This window comes from Homo sapiens, chromosome 1 (genome assembly GCF_000001405.40).
Source record: "Homo sapiens chromosome 1, GRCh38.p14 Primary Assembly".
NCBI lineage: Eukaryota > Metazoa > Chordata > Mammalia > Primates > Hominidae > Homo > Homo sapiens.
Window position 1 is genome coordinate 171,729,666 of NC_000001.11, and position 20,949 is coordinate 171,750,614.

The window sequence follows — 20,949 nt, forward strand, 5'->3', positions numbered from 1 at the left end:
TTTGTTTGGTTTGAGATGGAGTCTTGCTCTGCTGCACAGGCTGGAGTGCAGTGGTGCAATCTCGGCTCACTGCAACCTCCACCTCCCGGGTTCAAGTGATTCTCCCGCCTTAGCCTCCTAAGTAGCTGGGACTACAGGCGCATGCCACCACACCTGGCTAATACAGTCACCAAAACCTGTGAATGTGTTACCTTGCATGGTAAAAGGGACTTTGCAGATGTGATCACGGATCTTGAGAAGAAAAGATCATTATGAATTATTCATATGGGCCCCATGCAGAGTGAGGGAGAGAGAGAGAGACAGACAGACAGAGACAGACAGACATTACACTAATGGTTTTGAAGACACAGGAAGGGGTATGAGCCTAAAAAGGTAAACAGCCTCTAGGAGCTAGGAAAAGCAAGAAAACAGTTTCTTCCCTAAAGCCTCCAGAAAGAACATAGCCCTACTGGCACCTTGATTTTAGCCCTATAAGCTCATTTTAGACTTCTGGTCACCAGAACCATAAGACAATAAATTTGTGTTGTTTTAAGTGTGTGGTAATTTGTAGCAGTAGCAATGGGAAACTAATACACTACCCATGTACTTTTCCTGAGGAAATTCCTCAAGGAATTACACCAGCCAAAAAGAAAATGAAATCAAAACAAAGACCTTAAGACTGAGATGGATGATACAATCAATGAATCTAATACAATGTGTGGTCAAATCTAAATAGTTGATGATAATGTGACTGTAAACAATAAGTTAAAGCTTTTGAAAAAAATACATATTATATAGAAAAGCTTAAAAAGAATCTAAAACTTTTCCAACAAAGCCCAGAAGCTGGGAGTGGGAGAGTGAAGTGAAGAAGTGAAAGCATTGCCAATATGCTCATCTTGATGAGGAGTGGAATGGAGGAAGGGGGAACAGGACTAGAATTAAAAAGTAAAACAATGGAAGGGCCTTAGTTTTTGGTATGTTGACAGAGAACACAGATTAACACTACCATTAAAATATAAAGTTAGTAACAAAAGAGAGAGGGAAGGAGGGGGAAGGGAGTAAAGTATCTAAACTGTGGTTTAGATATGGTGGTTCTGGGGGCAAGGAGGGAGATGAGTAAAAATAATCAATCTAGCATAAGGGAAGGCATAAGGGAATCTACCATAAGAAAAGGCATAAGGGAAAAGGAAAATATAAGAAATACAATGAATATCACTATATCTATGTATAATATATGACATATACTAAAGAGTAAAAAAATGAAAGAAGGATGTATTCGGCTGGGCGCAGTGGCTCACGCCTGTAATCCCAGCACTTTGGGAGGCCCAGGCGGGTGGATCACGAGGTTAGGAGATCGAGACCATCCTGGCTAACATGGTGAAACTCTGTCTCTACTAAAAATACAAAAAAACAAAAAAAGAAGAAGAAGAAGGATGTATTCAATATTCATTTAACAAGTATTTTTGTGTATCTTTTACGTGCTTCTATGTGCACTGTTCTAAGTACTAAGCAGCGGTTTTGAACAAAACAAATCTGAGCTCTCACAGAAAAACAGGATTGCAATTGAACAATGAGAACACATGGACACAGGAAGGGGAACATCACACACCGGGGCCTGTTGTGGGGTGGGGAGAAGGGGGAGTGATAGCATTAGGAGATATACCTAATGTTAAATGACAAGTTAATGGGTGCAGCACACCAACATGGCACATGTATACATATGTAACTAACCTGCACGTTGTGCACACGTACCCTAAAACTTAAAGTATAATAATAATAATAAAAAAAACAGGATTGCAACAAATGCTATGCAGAGAATTAAAACAGTGATGGGACAGAAAGTGATGGGGTGACTACATGAGATTAGGCTGTCATAAAAAATCACTCTGAAGAGGTGAAATTTAAGCTGAGATCCAAATAACAAAGAGCCAGCCAAAGATCAGGGTGAAGAGCATTCATTGCTGCAGGACTAGATGGCTGGCACAGAAAAAGTCCAAGTGTATTAGTTATTCACAATAAATGTGACTGGTTTGAATGTCCCTATTTAATAACAAAAACTATATGTGATTAGGGTTCAAAAAAATTCTAGCCAATATCTGTTTGCAAGAAATTCACCTAAAACAAATACCAAATAAAGGATGGGGAAAAGCAGGGGTAGAAAAGAAACATCAGCAAATTCTAACAAAAAGAATGTTACAGTTAGCAATATAAAGAGGAATTTTAGGACAAAGTATTAAACAATCAAATAAGATGATTTTACAATAATAAAATATACAATCCATCAAGAAGATTTAATAGCAACGAATGTTTAAATACCTAATAATATAGCTTAAAGTATCTTACAGAAGCTGCGCAAATTATGAGAAACAGTTACATCAAAATCATAGGGAGGATTTAACATACCCTTCAGAGATGGAGAAGCCAAACACACAAAAAAATCTAGAACTTTGAAACTAGACAGCAAATTTTATTTTATTTTCCTTTATGGGTAAGCCACAAAGGACATTTAATAAATTCCAAAAAATAGAAATTACACAAGTCATATTCTCTGACCATAATGCGATGGAAAAAGGAAGTTTTAAAATACTCTTCTCAGCTGGGTGCAGTGGCTCACACCTGTAATCCCAGCACTTTGGGAGGCCAAAGTGGGGGGATCACTTGAGCCCAGGAGTTCAAGACCAGCACTGGCAACATAGCAAGACCGTGTCTCTATGGGAAAAAAAAAAAAAAAAAAAAAATTTAATTAGCCAGGCATGGTGGCTCATGCCTGTAGTCCTAGCTATTCAGCAGGCTGATATGGGAGGATCTTTTAAGCCCAGGAATTTGAGGTTAGAGTGAGCTATGATCATGCCACTGCACTCCAACCTGGGTGACAAAAGGAGACCCTGTAGCAAAAAACCTCACAAAAAACAAAAAACATCCTTCTCATTAACTTTTATGTTAAATGTAAATAAAGGTGATTAGACTATTTTGAAATGAAAGACACTGGGAAGATCACAGGTCAAAATCTGAAGAGTATGGCCACAGCAGTACTTAAAGGAAAATGGGACCTTAGACATATTTTGTTATGAAATCACAAAGATTGAAAATATATAAATAGTTAACTCTTAAGATGGGTAAGTTATTCCTAAACAACACACAACTCCAGAAGTCTGAAAGAAAAAGATTAACATATTTGATTATATAAAAATTTAAAACTTGAACATAAGACATCAAAAACAAGGTTAAAAAACAAGCAACAGACTGGGAAAAAACATCTGCAGTATCCTTTAAGACAAAAGACCTGATGTCTGTATTATATAAAAAGCTTTGACAAACTAGTAAGAAAAAGAGACATTATAGAAAAACAAAGAATAGAAATAGATAATTCCCAATAGAAGAAATGGCCAATGACCACATGAAATGTTCAAAACCAATTAATATTCAAGGAAATGCATTAGGTCATTTTTTAAATAAATATTTCTTGAGTAATATTCTAGCTAACAAGTAACAGACAAGCATTACATTTATAATATAATGTATTTGGTTTATGGCCGGGCATGGTGGCTCACGCCTGTAACCCTGGCACTTTGGGAAGATGAGGAGGGAGGATCACTTGAGCCCCGGAGTTCGAAACCAGCCTGGGCAATACGGTGAAACCCCATCTCTACAAAAAAAAAAAAAAAAAAAAAAAAAATTAGGCGTGGTGGTGTATGCCTGTAATACCAGCTACTCTGAAGGCTACTTGGGGGGATTGCTTGAGCCCAGGAGGAGGCTGCAGAACCCTGATCGTGCCACTGCATTCCAGCCTGGGTGACAAAGCCAGACCCTGTCTCAAAATAATAATGATAATAGTAATAGTAATAATTTATTTGGTTTAGAGGATAATGATACTAAAGATATGTTTACTATAATTGTACACTGAGAAACACACATGAAAACCAATGCTTTTTCATATATTAATTGAATAAACACAAGTGCTAGGGATACAGTGTCAAAAAAGAATAATAGGACACAATGAGATAATATTTCATACCCACTAGGCAGATAATATTAAGTGTTGGTGAGGATGTGGAGAAATTAGAATCATCATACATTGCCGGTGAGAATGTAAAAATTGTACAACCACTTTGGAAAACAGCTGGGCAGTTCTTCAGAAGGCTGAACAGAGAGTTACTACAATACTCAGCAATTCTACCTTTAGGTATACACCAAAGAGAAATAAAAACATGCTCAAACAAAAACTGGTATGCTAATGCTCATAGCAGTAGTATTTAAAATAGCCAAAAGTAGAAAAAAACCCAAACATCTATGAACTGATAAATGGGCAAACCAAATGTGTTATATCAATATAAGGGAATATTATTAGCAATAAAAAGGAATGAAGATCTCCCAGCACTTTGGGAGGCCGAGGTGGGTGAATCACCTGAGGTCAGGAGTTCGAGACTAGCCTGGCCAACATGGTGGAACCCCATCTCTACTAAAAATACAAAAATTAGCTGGGCGTGGTGGTGTACGCCTGTAATCCCAGCTACTTGGGAGGCTGAGGCACGAAAATCACTTGAACCCAGGAGGTGGAGGTTGCAGTGAGCCGAGATCGCACCATTGGACTCCAGCCTGGGCAACAGAGGGAGACTCCGTCTCAAAAAAAAAAAAAAAAAAAAATGAAGCACTGATATGCACTATAACGTTGAGGAATCTTAAAAACATTATGCTAAGTCAAAGAAGCCAGTCACAAAAGGCTATATGTTATATGATTCCATTTACAGAAAACGTCCAGAATAGACAAATCTATAGGAGTGCAGTTGCTTAGAGGCTGAGGGGATAAAGAAAATGGGAGATGACTGCAAAAGGGCACAGCATTTCTTTTTGGGCTAATGAAAATATCCTAAAATTGATTGTGGTGATTGTTGCACAACTCTGTGAATATAATAAAACTCACTGAATTGTACACTTTAAGTGGGTGAATTGTATGGTACGTGACTTTTATCTCAATAAAGCTATTACCAAAAAAGTATAATAGGAAAGAGGAACAAAACTTTTAAAAGATTTTAAAAGTAATTTATATATTATTCTAACCAATCAGTTATCAAACTTCATAATATAATAAACATCAAAAAGGAGTTCTCTTGAAACAGTCAATTTTATTCAGTTCTGGTGTCTAATATACTAATAATCAATGAAGAATATAAGGAGAAAGTGATACAATTACAGTCTCAGCAGTGGAATTTATTGAGACAATACATTTTAAATTTAAAAATGTATTCATAAAGCTTATTTATTTGTATTATTTTTAATTTAAGGTTTACTATTGTTTTTCTTGAAGTAATTTTTCCTGCCCTTGTTATTAGGGTGGGCTTTATGTACTATTTAATCTGATTTCCACACATATTATTAAACTGGTATTTAATATCTACAAATAATAATTTTGTCACTATTTTCTCAGGATTATGACCAACATGCCATGAAACTGTGATCCTAGTATATCACGCCTGGACTTGATTTTTAAAAAGCAATCATATTCAAGTGACTGTGTCCTTAACAGTGATTCCATTAAGTGAACAACAAATTTACGTTCAGCAGTGATTGTGAGAAAGAAACACAGGGGAACTTAGGAAATATAAATAGTTTCAGTTTAAAATCATGTAAAAATAAAACTATAAAATTAATGGGATTTGCATCAATTAAAAATTATTAAATAATATACTCTTGCATACTATACATTGAATTTGGCTACAACCTTCTCTGCTTTACATACATTTTTCAAAATTGACATAGATTGTATGAATTACAAACAAGTTCCGAGAGGTGATTTTACTACATACATTTCCATACTTCAGTCTTCATCTTACACAAAGGCAGATGTGACTTAGGGGCTCTCTGTCCAGGACTGAGGTATTTACCTGACATATCTCAGATATCAGTCAATCAACTGTCAGCATTTATTGATCATCTTCCAGGATATTAATGCTTTGCAAGCATCTCTGGGTAAGTGACTAAAGATTTCCTTGGGGCAATAGGAAAGAGGCTCAGATTCTTCTAACCGATGATTTAAAAAATATTTCAGCATGCTTTGTGCACGCTGATCACTGAATATTCATCAGGAGCTTTCAGTCAGCTTTTACTGGATGCATATCAAGTCTGTGTTGTTTTACACTGGGTTCCTTTATAGGTTCACAATTGGTATCATTTACTTTAACAAATTGACATTTATTCTCTGAATGGGTTTAGTATTTCGCCAAACCTTCTGCTTTGTAAAGACATGCTTTTTTTTTCTTTCTGAGATGGAATTTCACTCTGTCACCCAAGCTGGAGTGCAATGGCACAATCTCGGCTCACTGCAACCTCTGCCTCCCAGATTCAAGCAATTCTCCTGCCTCAGCCTCCCAGGTAGCTGGGATTACAGGTGTGCACCACCGCACCTGGCTAATTTTTGTACTTCTGCTAGAGATGGGGTTTCACTATGTTGGCCAGACTGGTCTTGAATTCCTGACCTCAAGTGATCTGCCCGCCTCGGCCTCCCAAAGTGCTGGGATTACAGGCGCGAGCCACCACGCCTGGCCAAGACATGCTTTTGATAGTAAATCTTCAGTGTATGGAATTCCAGCACAGGTATATCAAATTTTCTGAATCACTTTTTCTTGGAGGTTTATCTTGAAAGATATTACATTAAAGAAAGAGACCCTGGATTATCCCTGAGTGATTTCTCAATCCCTGATCATCCTCTGCCTTCTCTCGGCCAGAGCCTTCCGGGTTCACCCAGACTTGGTATATTTCAAGGCATTTCTCAATTCCTTGCATGGGGAACTAGCTCAAGCAGACACTAAGAGTTTCACCATGGCATGGAGGAAAAGATAGGTGACCAAAATGGTTGAAACTGCACCAAATGCTAGTAAGCAGTTGAAATTATGGCAAAGAAGGAGTAACTGGATTTGGCAACATGGAAATCATTGGTGACTCCTTAAAGTTTATTAGTAAAAGCTTGCTAGCAATTAATCTATTGGTGGATTCTATTTCCCCATTAAAAAACAAAACAAAACAAAACAAAACAAAACAAAACAAAACAAAACAGGCCGAGTGCAGTGTCAAATGTCTGTAATCCCAGCACTTTGGGAGGCCAAGGCAGGTGGATTACTTGAGCTCAGGAATTTGAGACCAGCCTGGGCAACACGGCAAAACCCCATCTTTACGAGAAAAACAAAAACTAGCTGGGCATGATATCATGCACCTGTAGTCTTTGCTACTCAGGAGGCTGGGGTGGGAGGATAGCTTGGGCCCAAAAGGTGGAGGCTGCAGTGAGCTGTGATTGCACCACTGCACTTCAGCCTCAATGACAGAGCGAGACCCTGGTCTCAAAAAATAAAAACAAACCATCAGAAACACACAAAACCGCAAAAGCTGTACAAAGGGTTAGAATAAGGGGAAGAAAATGTTTCCTGTGTTGTACTAAAAGAAACTTATGACTAAAAGTCATAAGATGGTGGACAGAGTGGATAATATGAAGTTCTGAGGTTGTCCAAAAAGAGCATGTAAAACAAAGCAGACTAAAAGCTTTGCAAGGGCACAGACTATGTCTTCCAATTTTTAGCCCAGTGCCTAGCACATAGGAGGTGGTCAATACATATTTGTTGAATGAATCAAGACAAGAAGGAAAGGAAGGAGGGCTTCAGAATGGTGCATTAAAAAAATAAGAACGTGAATTATTTCCCCCAATAAATATGTATTGAGTACTTATTCTAAAAGTAATCTGCCTACAACATTCATATAAAATGTTGTCTTTTAAATGCGGCATAATTTCTAGATTTATATATATTTGCATAGAATGTTCTGGAATAAACTAGAAATTGAAGCATTATATAAAAGATACTCTGGAACATAAGATAATTACAGGTCTGGGGACCTTTATTTGCAATTCCAAAATCTAAAAGCTTCTGAAAATCAAAAAGTTTTGGAGGAAAATTTGACCTGAACTGATGTTAGCTAGTTTATTTACACACTTTATTTACATAGTTAGTTAGATATAACTAAATATAGACTTCACTGAGAAATATTAATATTTTTGGAGGCACTGGTCCAGGCCCCAAAAATGCTGTTACATAATATGTTCTTAACTTTCTAAAATCTGAAAAATTCCAAATACATTCAAAGTTCTGAATAAGATATTGTGTATTTGTATAAAACTCCCTTTCAAAAACTAGAAAGAAGCTATGAGAATAATGATTTGATCAATAATGGAAGTAGAATTCAGTTGTCACCAATCTAAGTAACATGTTTTTAAATACATTTGCTATGAAGAAAACAATTAGGATTAGAATATAGTCATAAGCTTTTGATTTTTCTGTTGTTATTATTATTAGTTAATTAATTTTTGAGACAGGGTCTTGCTCTGTTGCTCAGGCTGGAGTGCAGATCACAGTTCACCACAGCCTTCATCTCCCAGGCTCAGGTGATCCTCCTGCCTTAGCCTCTTGAATAGCTGGAACCATAGGCATGTGCTACCATGCCCCATTAATTTTTTAAAAATTATTTATAGAGACAGGGTCTCCCTGGGTTGTCCAAGACAGTCTTGAACTTCTGGGCTCAAGCTATTCTGCTTCAGCGTCCCAAGTGCGGCGATTGCAGGCATGAGCAACCACGCCCGGATGGTTTTTCTTCTATTATTCACAAAGGGAATGAAAACATATTTTGAATCTTTTGTTTTTAAAGCTTAAGATTCCGAACTTACCCTTTCACTTTTCACAGAACCTGTGACATCATCATCATTGAGGTGGCGCTTAAACTTGGGAGGCATATTTTTTACTTGCAAAGTATCTTTTGCTTCTCAACAGGATAGTCACCACCTTAAAGAGAAAATAAATTTCATCAGATTTGAGACTTTGGGGCATAAGCTAATGTACTTAAAACAGTGTACATGAAACCCTGTATGACAGGGACTCCCTCATTTTTCTGACTTCAATTCCTGCCCTCTCACTTGTTCCACTCCAGTGACTGGGGCCTCCATGCTAGACCTCAACACCTAAGAAATAGTTAAAATTATGAGAAAATGGATGTAATTGCCCTAAGAGAACATGTGTAGGATATGAGTGATTTAAGATTTTTATAAAATGAAAGAGCAGAGAGTAGAGGGAGGACGTCTCACTGAGACATTAAATGCTTTACAATTTAAAGTTGGAGTCAGAAGACAGGAGAACATGCCTATTTCTCTCACTTTTAGTTGGTTGCTTAAGCAATGATTCAGTTTCCTCAGGTGTAAAATACTGATTTTCAGGCTTCTGCAGAGTTGGGACGGTCAAATTGGATAATACATGCAAAAATATTCTGCAAACTATAATGTCCCATTGGTACTCCATGAAAAGGGGTAAGTTTGGTAAGTACTGGTGTGATATCGTGATTTACAAAATATACTCATTTGGTCTTAATCCCCATTTCCTGACATATCCTTGGAATCGCTGCAGTGATGTGTCTTGTGTATGCTAATAAGATGACTGGTAGCTTAGCCCCCAGATAGATTCCAGATGGAGGCTGGTCACAGAAAAACCTAGGCATGATTAGAAGACTGGGACTTTACAGCCCCACCCCCTAGCTTCCTGGAAGGGGAGGAGGGCTCAAGGTTGAACTGATTTCTAATAGCCAATGATGTAATCAATCATGCCTACTAAGGAAGACTCCATAAAACCCAAAAAGGACAGGGTTCAGAGAGCTTCCCAAAAGCTGAACAAGTAGAGAGTTCCTGGACGGTGGCACACCTGGAGAGGGCACAGAAGCTCTGTACCCCTTGCCCTATGCACCTCTTCCATCTGGCTGTTGATCTCTATCCTTTATAATAAACCAGTAAACAAAGTGTTTCTCTTAATTCTGTAAGCCACTCTAGCAAATAAACTGAACACAAGGAAGGGATTGTGGGAACTCTGATTTATAGCCAGTCAGTTGGAAACACAGGTAAAACAACCTGGAACTTGTGATTGGCACCTGAAGTGGGGGGAATCTTGTAGGATTAAGCCCTCAACCTGCAGGATCTGATGCTATCTCTAGGTATACAGTATCAGAATTGAATTAGAGGACACCCAGCTGGAGAATCTGCTGCAGAATTTCCTCCTTGCTTGTGAGGAGAAATCTTTTGGGGGTCTGTGTTGAGAGAGAATAGGAGAAACTCAATTTTTTTCTATCAAAACAACTGGATTAAACAAAGCTAGTTTTCTTTGCTACAGAATGACTCACATCCTGTTATATGCTAATATGCATTGTGACTTTCCAGGAAAATGCTTGTGTATGCAACATACTAAAATTTTTTTTTGCGAAAAAGTTCTTCTATGCAAATAATGAATTTTCAGTATTTTTGACTAGATGGTAGATGAATACCCATCAATTCAGGATAGCTCAGAAATACTGAATGTTTTACTATGTGCTAGGCACGGTGCTCAGTGATACACATGCATTTTCTTTTACTCTTTATGATGCTTCTTTAAAGTAGGCACCAAGAAACTAGGAGAAAACTAAAGTTTAGTAACGATAACGTTAGTCACTACATTCATTGAAACAGCAGAGATACAGGCCTAAATTAATCAATGGCTGTGCATTATCAGTTTTAATCATTTGTTCAATTAGTTGCCCATCAGGTTTACAGAATTCTGTTCTAGAAAGACTCACTTCCTGCTAACAACCCAATAGTCCTGCTTCCTTTTCCATAAGAAGAAACACTTAGACCTTTAAATTAGGTATAGTTAGACATCAGTTTGTTTGTTAATGATATACACTTAAAAAAGAATAATCCCAGGATCTGGCTTCACGAACCAAATAAAAGTAATGTTTTAAGTCAGCTGCTTGTCAAAACCAAAGGACACACTTTTCTTTGATAAGAAATGCTTCCAAATCAGAAATTATTCACTTGTAACAAAAACCAAATTCTTGCTGCCTGAGTAACAGCTCTTGAGTTCTTGGTTCCACAATATTTCTGTCACATACATCTGGCCCTTTTATTCCTCATACTTTGATGTCAGAATACTTCATTCATGCAGAAATGTAACAGAATGCATGGAAAAACAGATGACAAGGCAAATTACTGAAGAACTTGTGCTTTTAACTATTATCTGTATTTAGATTTTAACCCCTGCAATGAGGCTGCCTCAACATCCCAAAGCAAACAACGGGCAGACTTATATAATGCCTTTATAAGACATACAGTAAAACTACAATCTTAAGGATGAGCAAACACCATATTCAGGTCTCTTAATCCCAAGAAACCATGTGCAACAAATAGCCCATCAGCAAAGCAGTAGGCAGATTAATTAGCTACCTTGATGAACTTTGATGTTATTTGCAACTGATTATTAGTAACTGATATGTGTATCAAACAACTAGTAGAAATAAATCATGCTCAGAAAGTAGACTAGGATATAGTCTGCCTAAGATTTCTCCTACAAAAAAAGACATGTGAATTCAGCTGTTTGTGACTAGGTATACATGTAAATAAGAGAGCCATCATGTACTTCCACATTGAGGATAGACCACCACTATACAATTCACTCAAATGAGTCACATCACCGTATGCTTCTTATACATCAGCATATACTTAAATGTCTATGTGTGCGTTTTTGTAAGTAGTACGTTATCTAGTCAATAGCTTTGAATCTGGGCAAAGGCTCTCCTTTTCCCAGCCTCCATTCTCTTTCTGATTCGTCTTCCTTGTCTGTCATCAGCCTTCTTGCTTGATGCAGTTTCACAGAAATAAAGTGACTTGGATGGACACAGACCGGAGATATTATTTGCAAAACCTGTCAAGTGTAACGATTCACCCCCACCTTCCGGTCATTATAAACACAGCAGGGTTGGCGCTCTTTCCCCCGGGCCCTTTAAATACACAATTTCAGGCAGCTCCGTTCACCCCCCACACCCAATCTGTCACACCAGGCCACGTCCCACGATATATCTGCTCCTAACGCTGGCCCTTCCTGCCCCATTGTACCCCCTGGAATTCCTCACTACATCCCACTCTTAACAAACCTTCCCCATCCATGGTACTGTTCTCTTCCCATCACCCCAGAGTACCCCTCAATTCCAATTCTTCTCTCCCTCAACTGCTCCTCGTCCGCATACCCCTGTCCTCGTCTTCCTTCCTCACGGCACCCCCGGCCCCAACCTTTTCCCACTCCGGGGTCCCTTCCTAGATCCCCGAGGCCCGCCGACCAGCCCGACTAGGACGTCGGGGGGCGGCAAGGCAGGGGCGTCTTCTTCGTTTCCTTCCTCCTCACACCAGCCCCTCCCGCTGCGAACAGGCCAGCGCCAGTACCTGAGGCTCCCGGGGAACTCCCGGCAGCTCTCCCGGGCTGGCGGTGCTGGGCGGGCGGGGGAAGGAGTAGGAAGCCGAGGTAAGAAGCTGGGAGGGGGAGACAGTTGGTGCGGACCCGGCGTCGGCCGCAGCGCCGCAGCAGCGCCTCCGCTCATCGAGCCGATCGGCGCTCGGCGGCCTGGCGCCAGGCGGAGGGGGCGGGTCCAGGGCACGGAGATAATCGAGGAAGTCGATCCGCCGAGCCCTATTCACCTAAAAGAGCCCGAACCCACACGCAGTTTAGATGCATCTCTCCAAATTTATGCTGTGCTTTAGGGGAGGAACAACCACTGGTTGTCCACGTTCCGGTCGTGATCCGGCGTGCGTGGAGGGCGATTAGGGGAGGAGTGGGAAACTTCCGAGAACCGCTCGGGACTGGGCGCCGCGCCGGAGTGCGTGGCTGGGGTGATGAGGCGTTAGAAAGAAGGTGGTGCTTGGTGGCACATCCGTCCCTCTGGCTGACTACGTTGAGTGGCAAGTGGAGAGTGGCTCGCAGCTCGAGGACCTGCTTCGGGTTCGTCTGGGGCCTTTTCTGAAGAAAGGAGATCTGTTTGATCCCCTGTTTACAGAATTAGAGCTAGACTTGGAAAGAGATGTTAAGGCCAGGCTCCTCCCTTTAGATAGGAGGAATATCTGGTTCAGAGAGGAGATTGACTTAAAGTTAACACGGCTAGTTTAGATAGATACGGGACGAGGGCTCGGTGTTCTTTTCCCGGTATCCCTTAGTTGTAACCTGAAAGCCTTCAGGAAATCGCCCTCGCCAGGCCATTCCGCCACTCTGCCCATTCCTTCCTCACTCCCTCCCCCTCCGCCCAATTTGGTATCATGTTTAGATCTCCACGCCCGCAGTAGCTGTCTACCAGAAACAATTCCTAATTTTGTTTTTCCGTTCTCTTATTTGTTTTATTATCCGTTCCTCCCACGCCCCAGCTGGATTATTTTACTCATTGAATCATATTCACTACACATCTTTTAAAATTAATACAGTATCTATGGGTCCTTTGTTGATACAGTATTTTAACTGTCTGAAATACTGTGCCAGGCACTTTCTAAAGACATAAAAATAAGAGGGGGTGTTCAAGAACAAGAGTAGACAAGAAAACAGCAGGAGGAAAGATCTGCGGACACTAAAGGAAAGGAAAGAATAGACACCCTCTTACCAAAAAGTTGTTCTTCTTTTGTTTGATGTTTATTTTTATGTAAAAATGTACTAACGAATTTGAAAGATGCCATGACTAAGGCAACGATGCTCCACTCTGATTCACTTGGAGTTGAATCACTTGGAAAGCTTTTAAAACTACGTAGGTGCCCACGTGCTACCTAGATTCTGATTTAAATGTTCTGAGATTTAGAAACAGCCGTTGAGTTGTCAGTTGAAGGTTCTGAAAGCTTAATGCTAAACTCAGTTGCCTGTGTTTATTCAGTCCAAGTTGCTGTCCAAGTCAGCAACTTGGACTGAAACGGCCCACTTAGAAGAGAAGCCTCTCATGGTTTGTATCCCTGTCTAGGTGTGATAGTGGGTCTACCCCCAGACTCCACAGGTAACCCTGACATTATTTTTTCTTCTACAGCTGATCTTTTTTTTTTTTTTGAGATGAAGTCTCACTTCTTCCCCCAGGCTGGAGTGCAGTGACACAATCATAGCGCACAGCAGCTCTGAACTCCTGAGCTAAAGTGATCTTCCTGCCTCTGCCTCCCAAGTAGCTGGGATTACAGGCATGAGCAGCTGTGCCCAGCACTTACAGTTGATTTTATGTCTGTATATTTGCATGTTATGGGCTATTTTCTGGCTTTGGTGCCTTAGCCAATTAGAGTTTAGCTAGTTATAGCCTCATCTCTTAGACAACTTAAGGTGTGGTCAGTGAGCTCTAACAGGCACGTCATTGCATAGCTTTTACAGATAATCCATTCTTTGGGTTTTTTTGTTTTTTAAACATAATTCTTTAGTCCTGCCAGTCATTTTGGAATGATCGCTTAGGAGAGGGGTAATGCAAGCCCCACCCTTAATCACCTGAACAAAGTCCCTTTGACTAACCCCAATATTTGTGAAACTTAGAAAATGTCATTTTACAGTTAACATGAATCAAATATACCAGTAAGCCTAAAAGATTATAATAGCACTGAGCTTAGAGTCAGAACTCCAAGCAACTTGAGTTACTTATTTCCTCCATTTTCTTTTTAGTGAGCTTCAGTTATTCAGATGTTAGTCCTCTAATTTTCTTTTCCCCTTTTTCAACATGACACCTTCATCCTTAAGAGGGCCTGCTGTCCTCCTAGCTAGAGAATCAGCGTTTTGCTGTCTTTCAGGACTAAATCTCTGGGTTTTTGATGGGATAGCAAAGGGAATCTCAGCATCTGATTCATTCTTAAACAGACTTTATACCATTCCGCCTGTATTTATAGCTCACATCATGCTCTCTTCAGCTTTACGTGGTGTTTCCAATTCCTGAGCCTTATACAGGGTTTCACTGTGTGTATCAGGTTGCTTCATGGCCTGCTTGGGATTCCTACTTTTCAAGTCTGCTAAGGCAATTGCATCTTGATTCATCTCCCTTCTAGCTTTCAATATTTTGTTGCTAAATGTTCAACATTACTTAAAATGTAAAAGTGAACAAGGAAATACCATTTTTCATCTATCAGTGACTGAGAAAGAAGGAGTTGAGCAGAAGATCTGCAATCCAGTCTCTCCCTTCGTAGGGAAATACTCTCAGGAAAGCAAGGTTAAAGCAAGCAAAAAAGCATGTGATTTTTATAAAATATAAAGTATATACTAATTACAGACCTCCTGGCAAACAAACTAATGGCATTTGCTAGCAAGAGAGTCCATATTTACGGAATTCCTCTAACAGGATGTCCCAGGGCTGGGATTGTTTATGGTAAACACATTAAGAATCGATGTGGTAATTCCAGCACTTTGGGAGGCTGAGGCAGGTGGATCACTTGAGGTCAGGAGTTACCAGCCTGGCCAACATGGCAAAACCCCGTCTCTACCAAAACTACAAAAATTAGCTGAGTGTGGTGGTGTACACTTGTAACACCAGCTACTCAGGAGGCTGAGGCAGAAGAATAGCTTGCACTGGAGATGCGGAGGTTGCAGTGAGCAGAGATCGCGCCACCGCCCTCCATCCTGGTCAACAGAATGAGACTCCCTCTCACAAAACAAAAAAGAATCAATGCGGATTTCAGGGGTATGATTAACTGGAAAATACCGCGGAAGTTATGTAACGTAGCATAAAATGGAAGTGTTTTGTAACTGATTTGGCTCCTTCTGTGTAAGTGGGGTGACTGTACACTTGATTTAGAAACCACATCTACTGTCCTGGGCCAGGATGCATCCAAAGCAAGAAGAAAGGACCTGGGGATTACTGGTATCCTTGAAACTATTAGTAAAGCTTGATACTGAGTAAAATCTCTGATTTGAGCCTGATTTGACAGTTTGATCTTTTGTGTTAGCTCAATAGCAAAAATAAAAAAAATTTGATACTACAATATTGGGTGTGTGTATGTGTGGTATGGGAGCAGCGTGGGAGGAACAAGCATTCTTAAACAGTAAGAGTATAAAAATTGGTGCATTTTTAAAAATTTCATGGTAATTATATGTATCAAAATTTTATATGAAGTTCTTTTTGATCTAATAATTTTACTTCTAAAATTTATCCCATGGGTATACAGGTTGTATATAAAAGTATTCTATAAAAATATCTGTTACAGGATTTTTGTAACAGAGTGAAAAAAAAAACTCTAAATGTTCAGCAATAGGAAATTGCTGAAATGAGTCATAGTCTAGCCATTCAATAGAATAGTATGCAGCCATTAAAATGAACTAGATAGATCTATATGTGCTGACATGGAATACCTCTATGATGCTATAAGGTGAGAAAAGTAAGGTGCAAAATAGTGTGTAGACTCTACTTCCATTTGAGCATCACACACACACACACACACACACACACACACACACCAGGAGGACTGTGAATCTGGCATGGAAAGTGTTATGGACTGAATTATGTCCCCTCAAAATTCATATGTTGAAGTCTTAACTTCCAGTGTGACTAGATTTGGAGATAGGGCCTTTAGGACAATAATTAAGGTTAAATGAAATCAAAAAGGCAAAACCCTAATCCTGTAGGGCTAGTGTCTGAGTGCATGGGCACAGAGAAGAGGCCATATGAGAACACAGAAGATGGCCATTTGCAGTCCAGAAAGAGAGGCCACACCATAAGCCAACCCTGATGACTCCTTGATCCTGGACTTTTAGCCTCTAGGACTGTGAGAAAATAAATTTCTGTAGTTAAGCCACCTAGTCCATGGTATTTCATTATAGCAGCCCTAGAAGACTAATACAGAAGGGAAACTTTCTTGATGTGTAGTGTTTTGTACTATTGGAATATCTTTACCATGTATATCAGTTTTTCAATTAAAACAATGGTAGAGGCACTCTCTTCCCCTAAAATTGGGACCACTGGACCAGTTAATTTAAAAAGTCAGTTACAGTGGTACATATTTAAAAATGGCAAATATATACTTTAGTCATTTTATTTTGACTCAAATGTATATGTTCACTCACCAGTCTTGGTAGTAGGCCCAAGACCTTTTATCTGAGCATGAATTTGCTGGTTGGAACACCTGCTTTGTCTTTGTTACAAGTTGCATTGTTTACAGTTTACAGTTTCATTTTCTTCAAAGTGGAATAAGAAGTTAAAGACACCTTTCAAGCAATTTGAATGCCCAGTCAGTCTAGATTTTTGTACAATTTTTTCTCCAAAGTTTTACAGGTTTGTCTTACCTGTGCCTAGTTCTATAGTAATTTTTGTTTGTTGTTCATGTTTATCAATTTAGTTTTTATAGAAAATAACTTTCTATTTGTATTTCATTAGTTTACATATTTAAATATATTCTATAAGTATAATAGGCATAAATACTTTGGAGTACAAATGCAAATTGACTCTTGTAAGCATGTAACTCAATTAGTTTGGAGAAGAAGTATACAGATATCATGTAGTTAACCATAAGCTTTTCATGCTTAGAGTGCCTTGGTGTTATATAAATATGATATTAGTTTATTTTAGTTTTGATTTTGAATGCTTTTAAATCCTCTATCCAGATTCATTAATAACGCTTTTCTAATGCTGACCTCAACTCCTAAATGGATTTCATGACAGTGTGAATAAAAACAAAATAGTTCAGCCCTCTTTTTGTCTCCAGGTAGATGAAGAAACAGAGTGCCAGAGAGTTTACGTGGTTTGTTAACATTTCACTAAGTTTGCTTTATTACTTCTCTTTAAATTTATATCTCCCCTCGGCATGCATTATTTGAAAATTAGTTATAGCTATCATGCCTCTTTACCCCTAAATACTTCATTAGATATCTCCTAAGAACAAGAACATTGTCTTCATAACTGTAATTCAGTTGTCAAATTCAGAAAATTTAACATTGATACAATATTATTTTCTATCAAAGCATCCATATCAAAGTTTGCCAGCCGTCTCAGTTATGTCCTTTGCAATGTGAGTATAGTCTACAGAGAAAATAGTAATGAGTAACAAAGCAAGAGGAATTTAGTTTTTAAAGATAAGTTCAACTATAGTTTAATTATTTTTAATATATATAATAATATGGGAAATGCCCTGATGCCTTCCTCATGAAACTTTAGATGTGACATTATAAGATGGTCTCAGGGAGGTGCTTTGTTTCTCTTCTAACTGTTCTTGTTTATTGAGGTAGTGACATGTTGCAAGAATTTTATCTTGGAGAAATTACCTCCCACAAAGATGGCAACATTAGAAGAACCTGCATAATAATATGCTCTAATTGTGTTACAAATTTATTTTACTACTCTGAAAGTTAAAAATGGTTACCATTTATTTTCTTGGTTTCATGCCTGTTTTCTTAAGAACTATGCTTAATGATTAGCATATGTTTCTGCACAAATCCTCTCTGATATCAAGTGTCATTTTCCTCATTTTATCATTTAGACCTCAAGGTTCTGAGATGACGTGTGATTTGTCCAAGGTTAGAGAATGGTACAACTGAGAACACTAGAAAATATCGCAGAGCAATAAGCTTAAATTGAGATAAATATTTTCTCTAAATGAATCACATGCTTTTCCCTTATAATAGAGATTAGGCGGCTGGGCGCGGTGGCTCGTGCCTGTAATCCCAGCACTTTGGGAGGCCGAGGCGGGCGGATTGCCTGAGGTCAGGAGTTTGAGACCAGCCTGGCTAACACAGTGAAACTCCATCTCTACTAAAAATATGAAAAAATTAGCCCGGCGTGGTGGCACACACCTGTAGTCCCAGCTACTCGGGAGGCTGAGGCAGGAGAATCGCTTCAACCTGAGAGGTAGAGGTTGCAGTAAGCCAAAATCGTGACACTGCACCTGGGCGACAGAGGGAGACTCCATCTTTAGACGGAGAATCCATCAAGCATAATGTCTTGTTATGATCGCACTTGATTCAAGAGGCTTTAGTCTGCTTAAGGTAAAATACAACTGTAATTTCTTGCTGAAGATGGTAATATTTATCTTGAGTGAAGACTGTACTTTCAGGGTACAACAAACTATAACATAGAACTGTGTTATAGTTCTATAACAAACTATAGAAATGATCTATAGTTTGTTAATCTTGGGTGCTATATCAAAGTGAATCAATTTGTCCATCAGATATGTGTGACAGGTATTCTGTTAAAGTCTGGGGATACAAAAATGGCAAACAGTGTTACTGTCCTCTTAAAAACTTACAATCTTGCACAGAAAAACAAGACTAGGCAACTACAGCCATGTGCCACAGAAGGACGTTTCAGTCAACGAAGGACTGCATATATATAACATTATAATTGATCTGAAAAATTCCACCTAACGATGTTGTTGCTGTTGTGCAATGGATTACTCATGAGTTTGTGGTGATGTTGGTGTGAACAAACCTGCACTGCCAATCTTACAGAAGTGTAGCATATACAATTATGTACAGTCTGTGATACTTGATCATAAATGACTCTTACCAGTTTATTTATTATACTATATATCATTATTTTAGAGTATATTCCTTCTACTTATACAAAAAGTTTACTGTCAAACAGCCTCAGGCAGGTCCTTTGGGAAGTATTCCAGAAGAAAACGTTGTTAAATTAGTGTGTGTTAAAATAGTGTGTGTTATTGTTCCTGAAGACCTTCCAGTGGGACAAGATGTGGAGGAAAACAGCAATATTGGTGATCCTGACCCTGTGTAGACCTAGACTAATGGGTGTGACTGTGCATTAGTTTTTAACAAAAAAGTTTAGAAAGTAAAAATATATACAATAAAAAATTTTTAAAATAGTAAAAAATGGTCCAGGTGTGGTGGCTCATGCCTGTAATCACAGCACTTTGGGAGGCCGAGGCAGGTGGATTGCTTGAGCCCAGGAGTTTGAGACTAGCCTGGGGAACACAGTGAGACCCCATCTCTGCAAAAAATTTAAAAAGTAGCCAGGCATGGTGGCACACACCTGTAGTTCCAGCTACTCAGGAGGCTGAGGTAGGAGGATTGCTTGATCCTGGGAGGTCGAGTCTGCAGTGGGCCCTGATTGTGCTGCTGCCCTCTAGCCTGGTGGCAGAGCAAGACTCTGCCTCAAAAAAAAAAAAAAAAAAAAAAAAAAGTAAAAGCTTATAGAGTGAAAATAGAAAATATTTTTGTACAGCTATACAATGTATTTGTGTTTTAAGCTAAGTGTTATTATGAGTCAAAAAGTTTAAAAGTTTATAGAGTGAAAAATTATAGTAAGCTAAGGTTAATTTATTGGAGAAAAAGTTTTAAAAAATATATTTAGTGTAGCCTAAGTATACAGTGTTTATCAAGTATACAGTGGTGTACAGTAATGTCCTAGGTCTTCAGGTTCACTCACCACTCACTCACTGACTTGCCAGAGCAACTTCCAGTCCTGCAAACTTCATTCATGAAGTGCCATATACAAGTGTATCATCTTTAAACCTTTTATACCATATTTTTATTGTGCCTTTTCTATGTGTATCTAAACAAATACTTGTTATTTACAATTGCCTACAGTATTCAATACAGTAACATGCTAGACAGGCTTGTAGCCTAGGAGCAATAGGCTATACCATATAGCCTAGATGTGTAGTAGGCTATACCATCTAGGCTTGCGTGCGTACACTCTGATGTTTACATGAGGACTAAATCGCCTAACAATCCATTTCACAAGACATATGCCTGTTGTCAAGTGACACATGACTGTATTGAAAACTGAAGTAAATTACAGAGTCAAATGAACAATGGAGTATATATATAATTTATACATATACACAGGTACATGAATACCTTAGCAAATAAAATTGTCTAAGGTGATCTGTAATATTAAATTGTTGTTTAACAATAAATTAAGATCACAAATGGAAACAAATAGGGATGCTGCTATACCTCAGGAATAGCAATAGGAGGAAGCCACGACTATTCATAGGCATAAACAGTCACAAGAAGGGTCAATAGAAAAAGGCAAGAACCATAGTTGTAGGAGATGGGCTGTCCAATAGAGGAATGCAGACATTGCTAACCCAGCCCTGACCTATTTCTCTTCCCAGAAACCTGACCTCCGGGTTTATCCATGTTGTTACAAATGGCAAATGACAGGATTCCATCCTTTTTTTTTTTTTTTTTTTTTTTTGAGACAGAG

The 20,949-nt window shown here is 38.9% G+C and overlaps 1 protein-coding gene across 4 annotated transcripts in view; it reads right to left on the reverse strand.

Moving 5' to 3' along the window:
- VAMP4 (vesicle associated membrane protein 4) overlaps positions 1 to 12,400 on the reverse strand; it is a 41,906-nt gene extending 29,506 nt beyond the window's left edge. For all 4 annotated transcript variants that reach the window (NR_033704.2, NM_001185127.2, NM_003762.5 and 1 more), the window contains exons 1-2: positions 12,245 to 12,400; positions 8,684 to 8,798 (exon numbers count right to left, since the gene is read on the reverse strand). Coding sequence is in view for 3 of the 4 variants with exons in the window: in NM_001185127.2 (NP_001172056.1) it covers positions 8,684 to 8,749 (66 nt within the window). In the remaining variant the exon portion in view is untranslated. The remainder of the gene's footprint in view (positions 1 to 8,683; positions 8,799 to 12,244) is intronic.
- Positions 12,401 to 20,949: the final 8,549 nt, after the last annotated feature.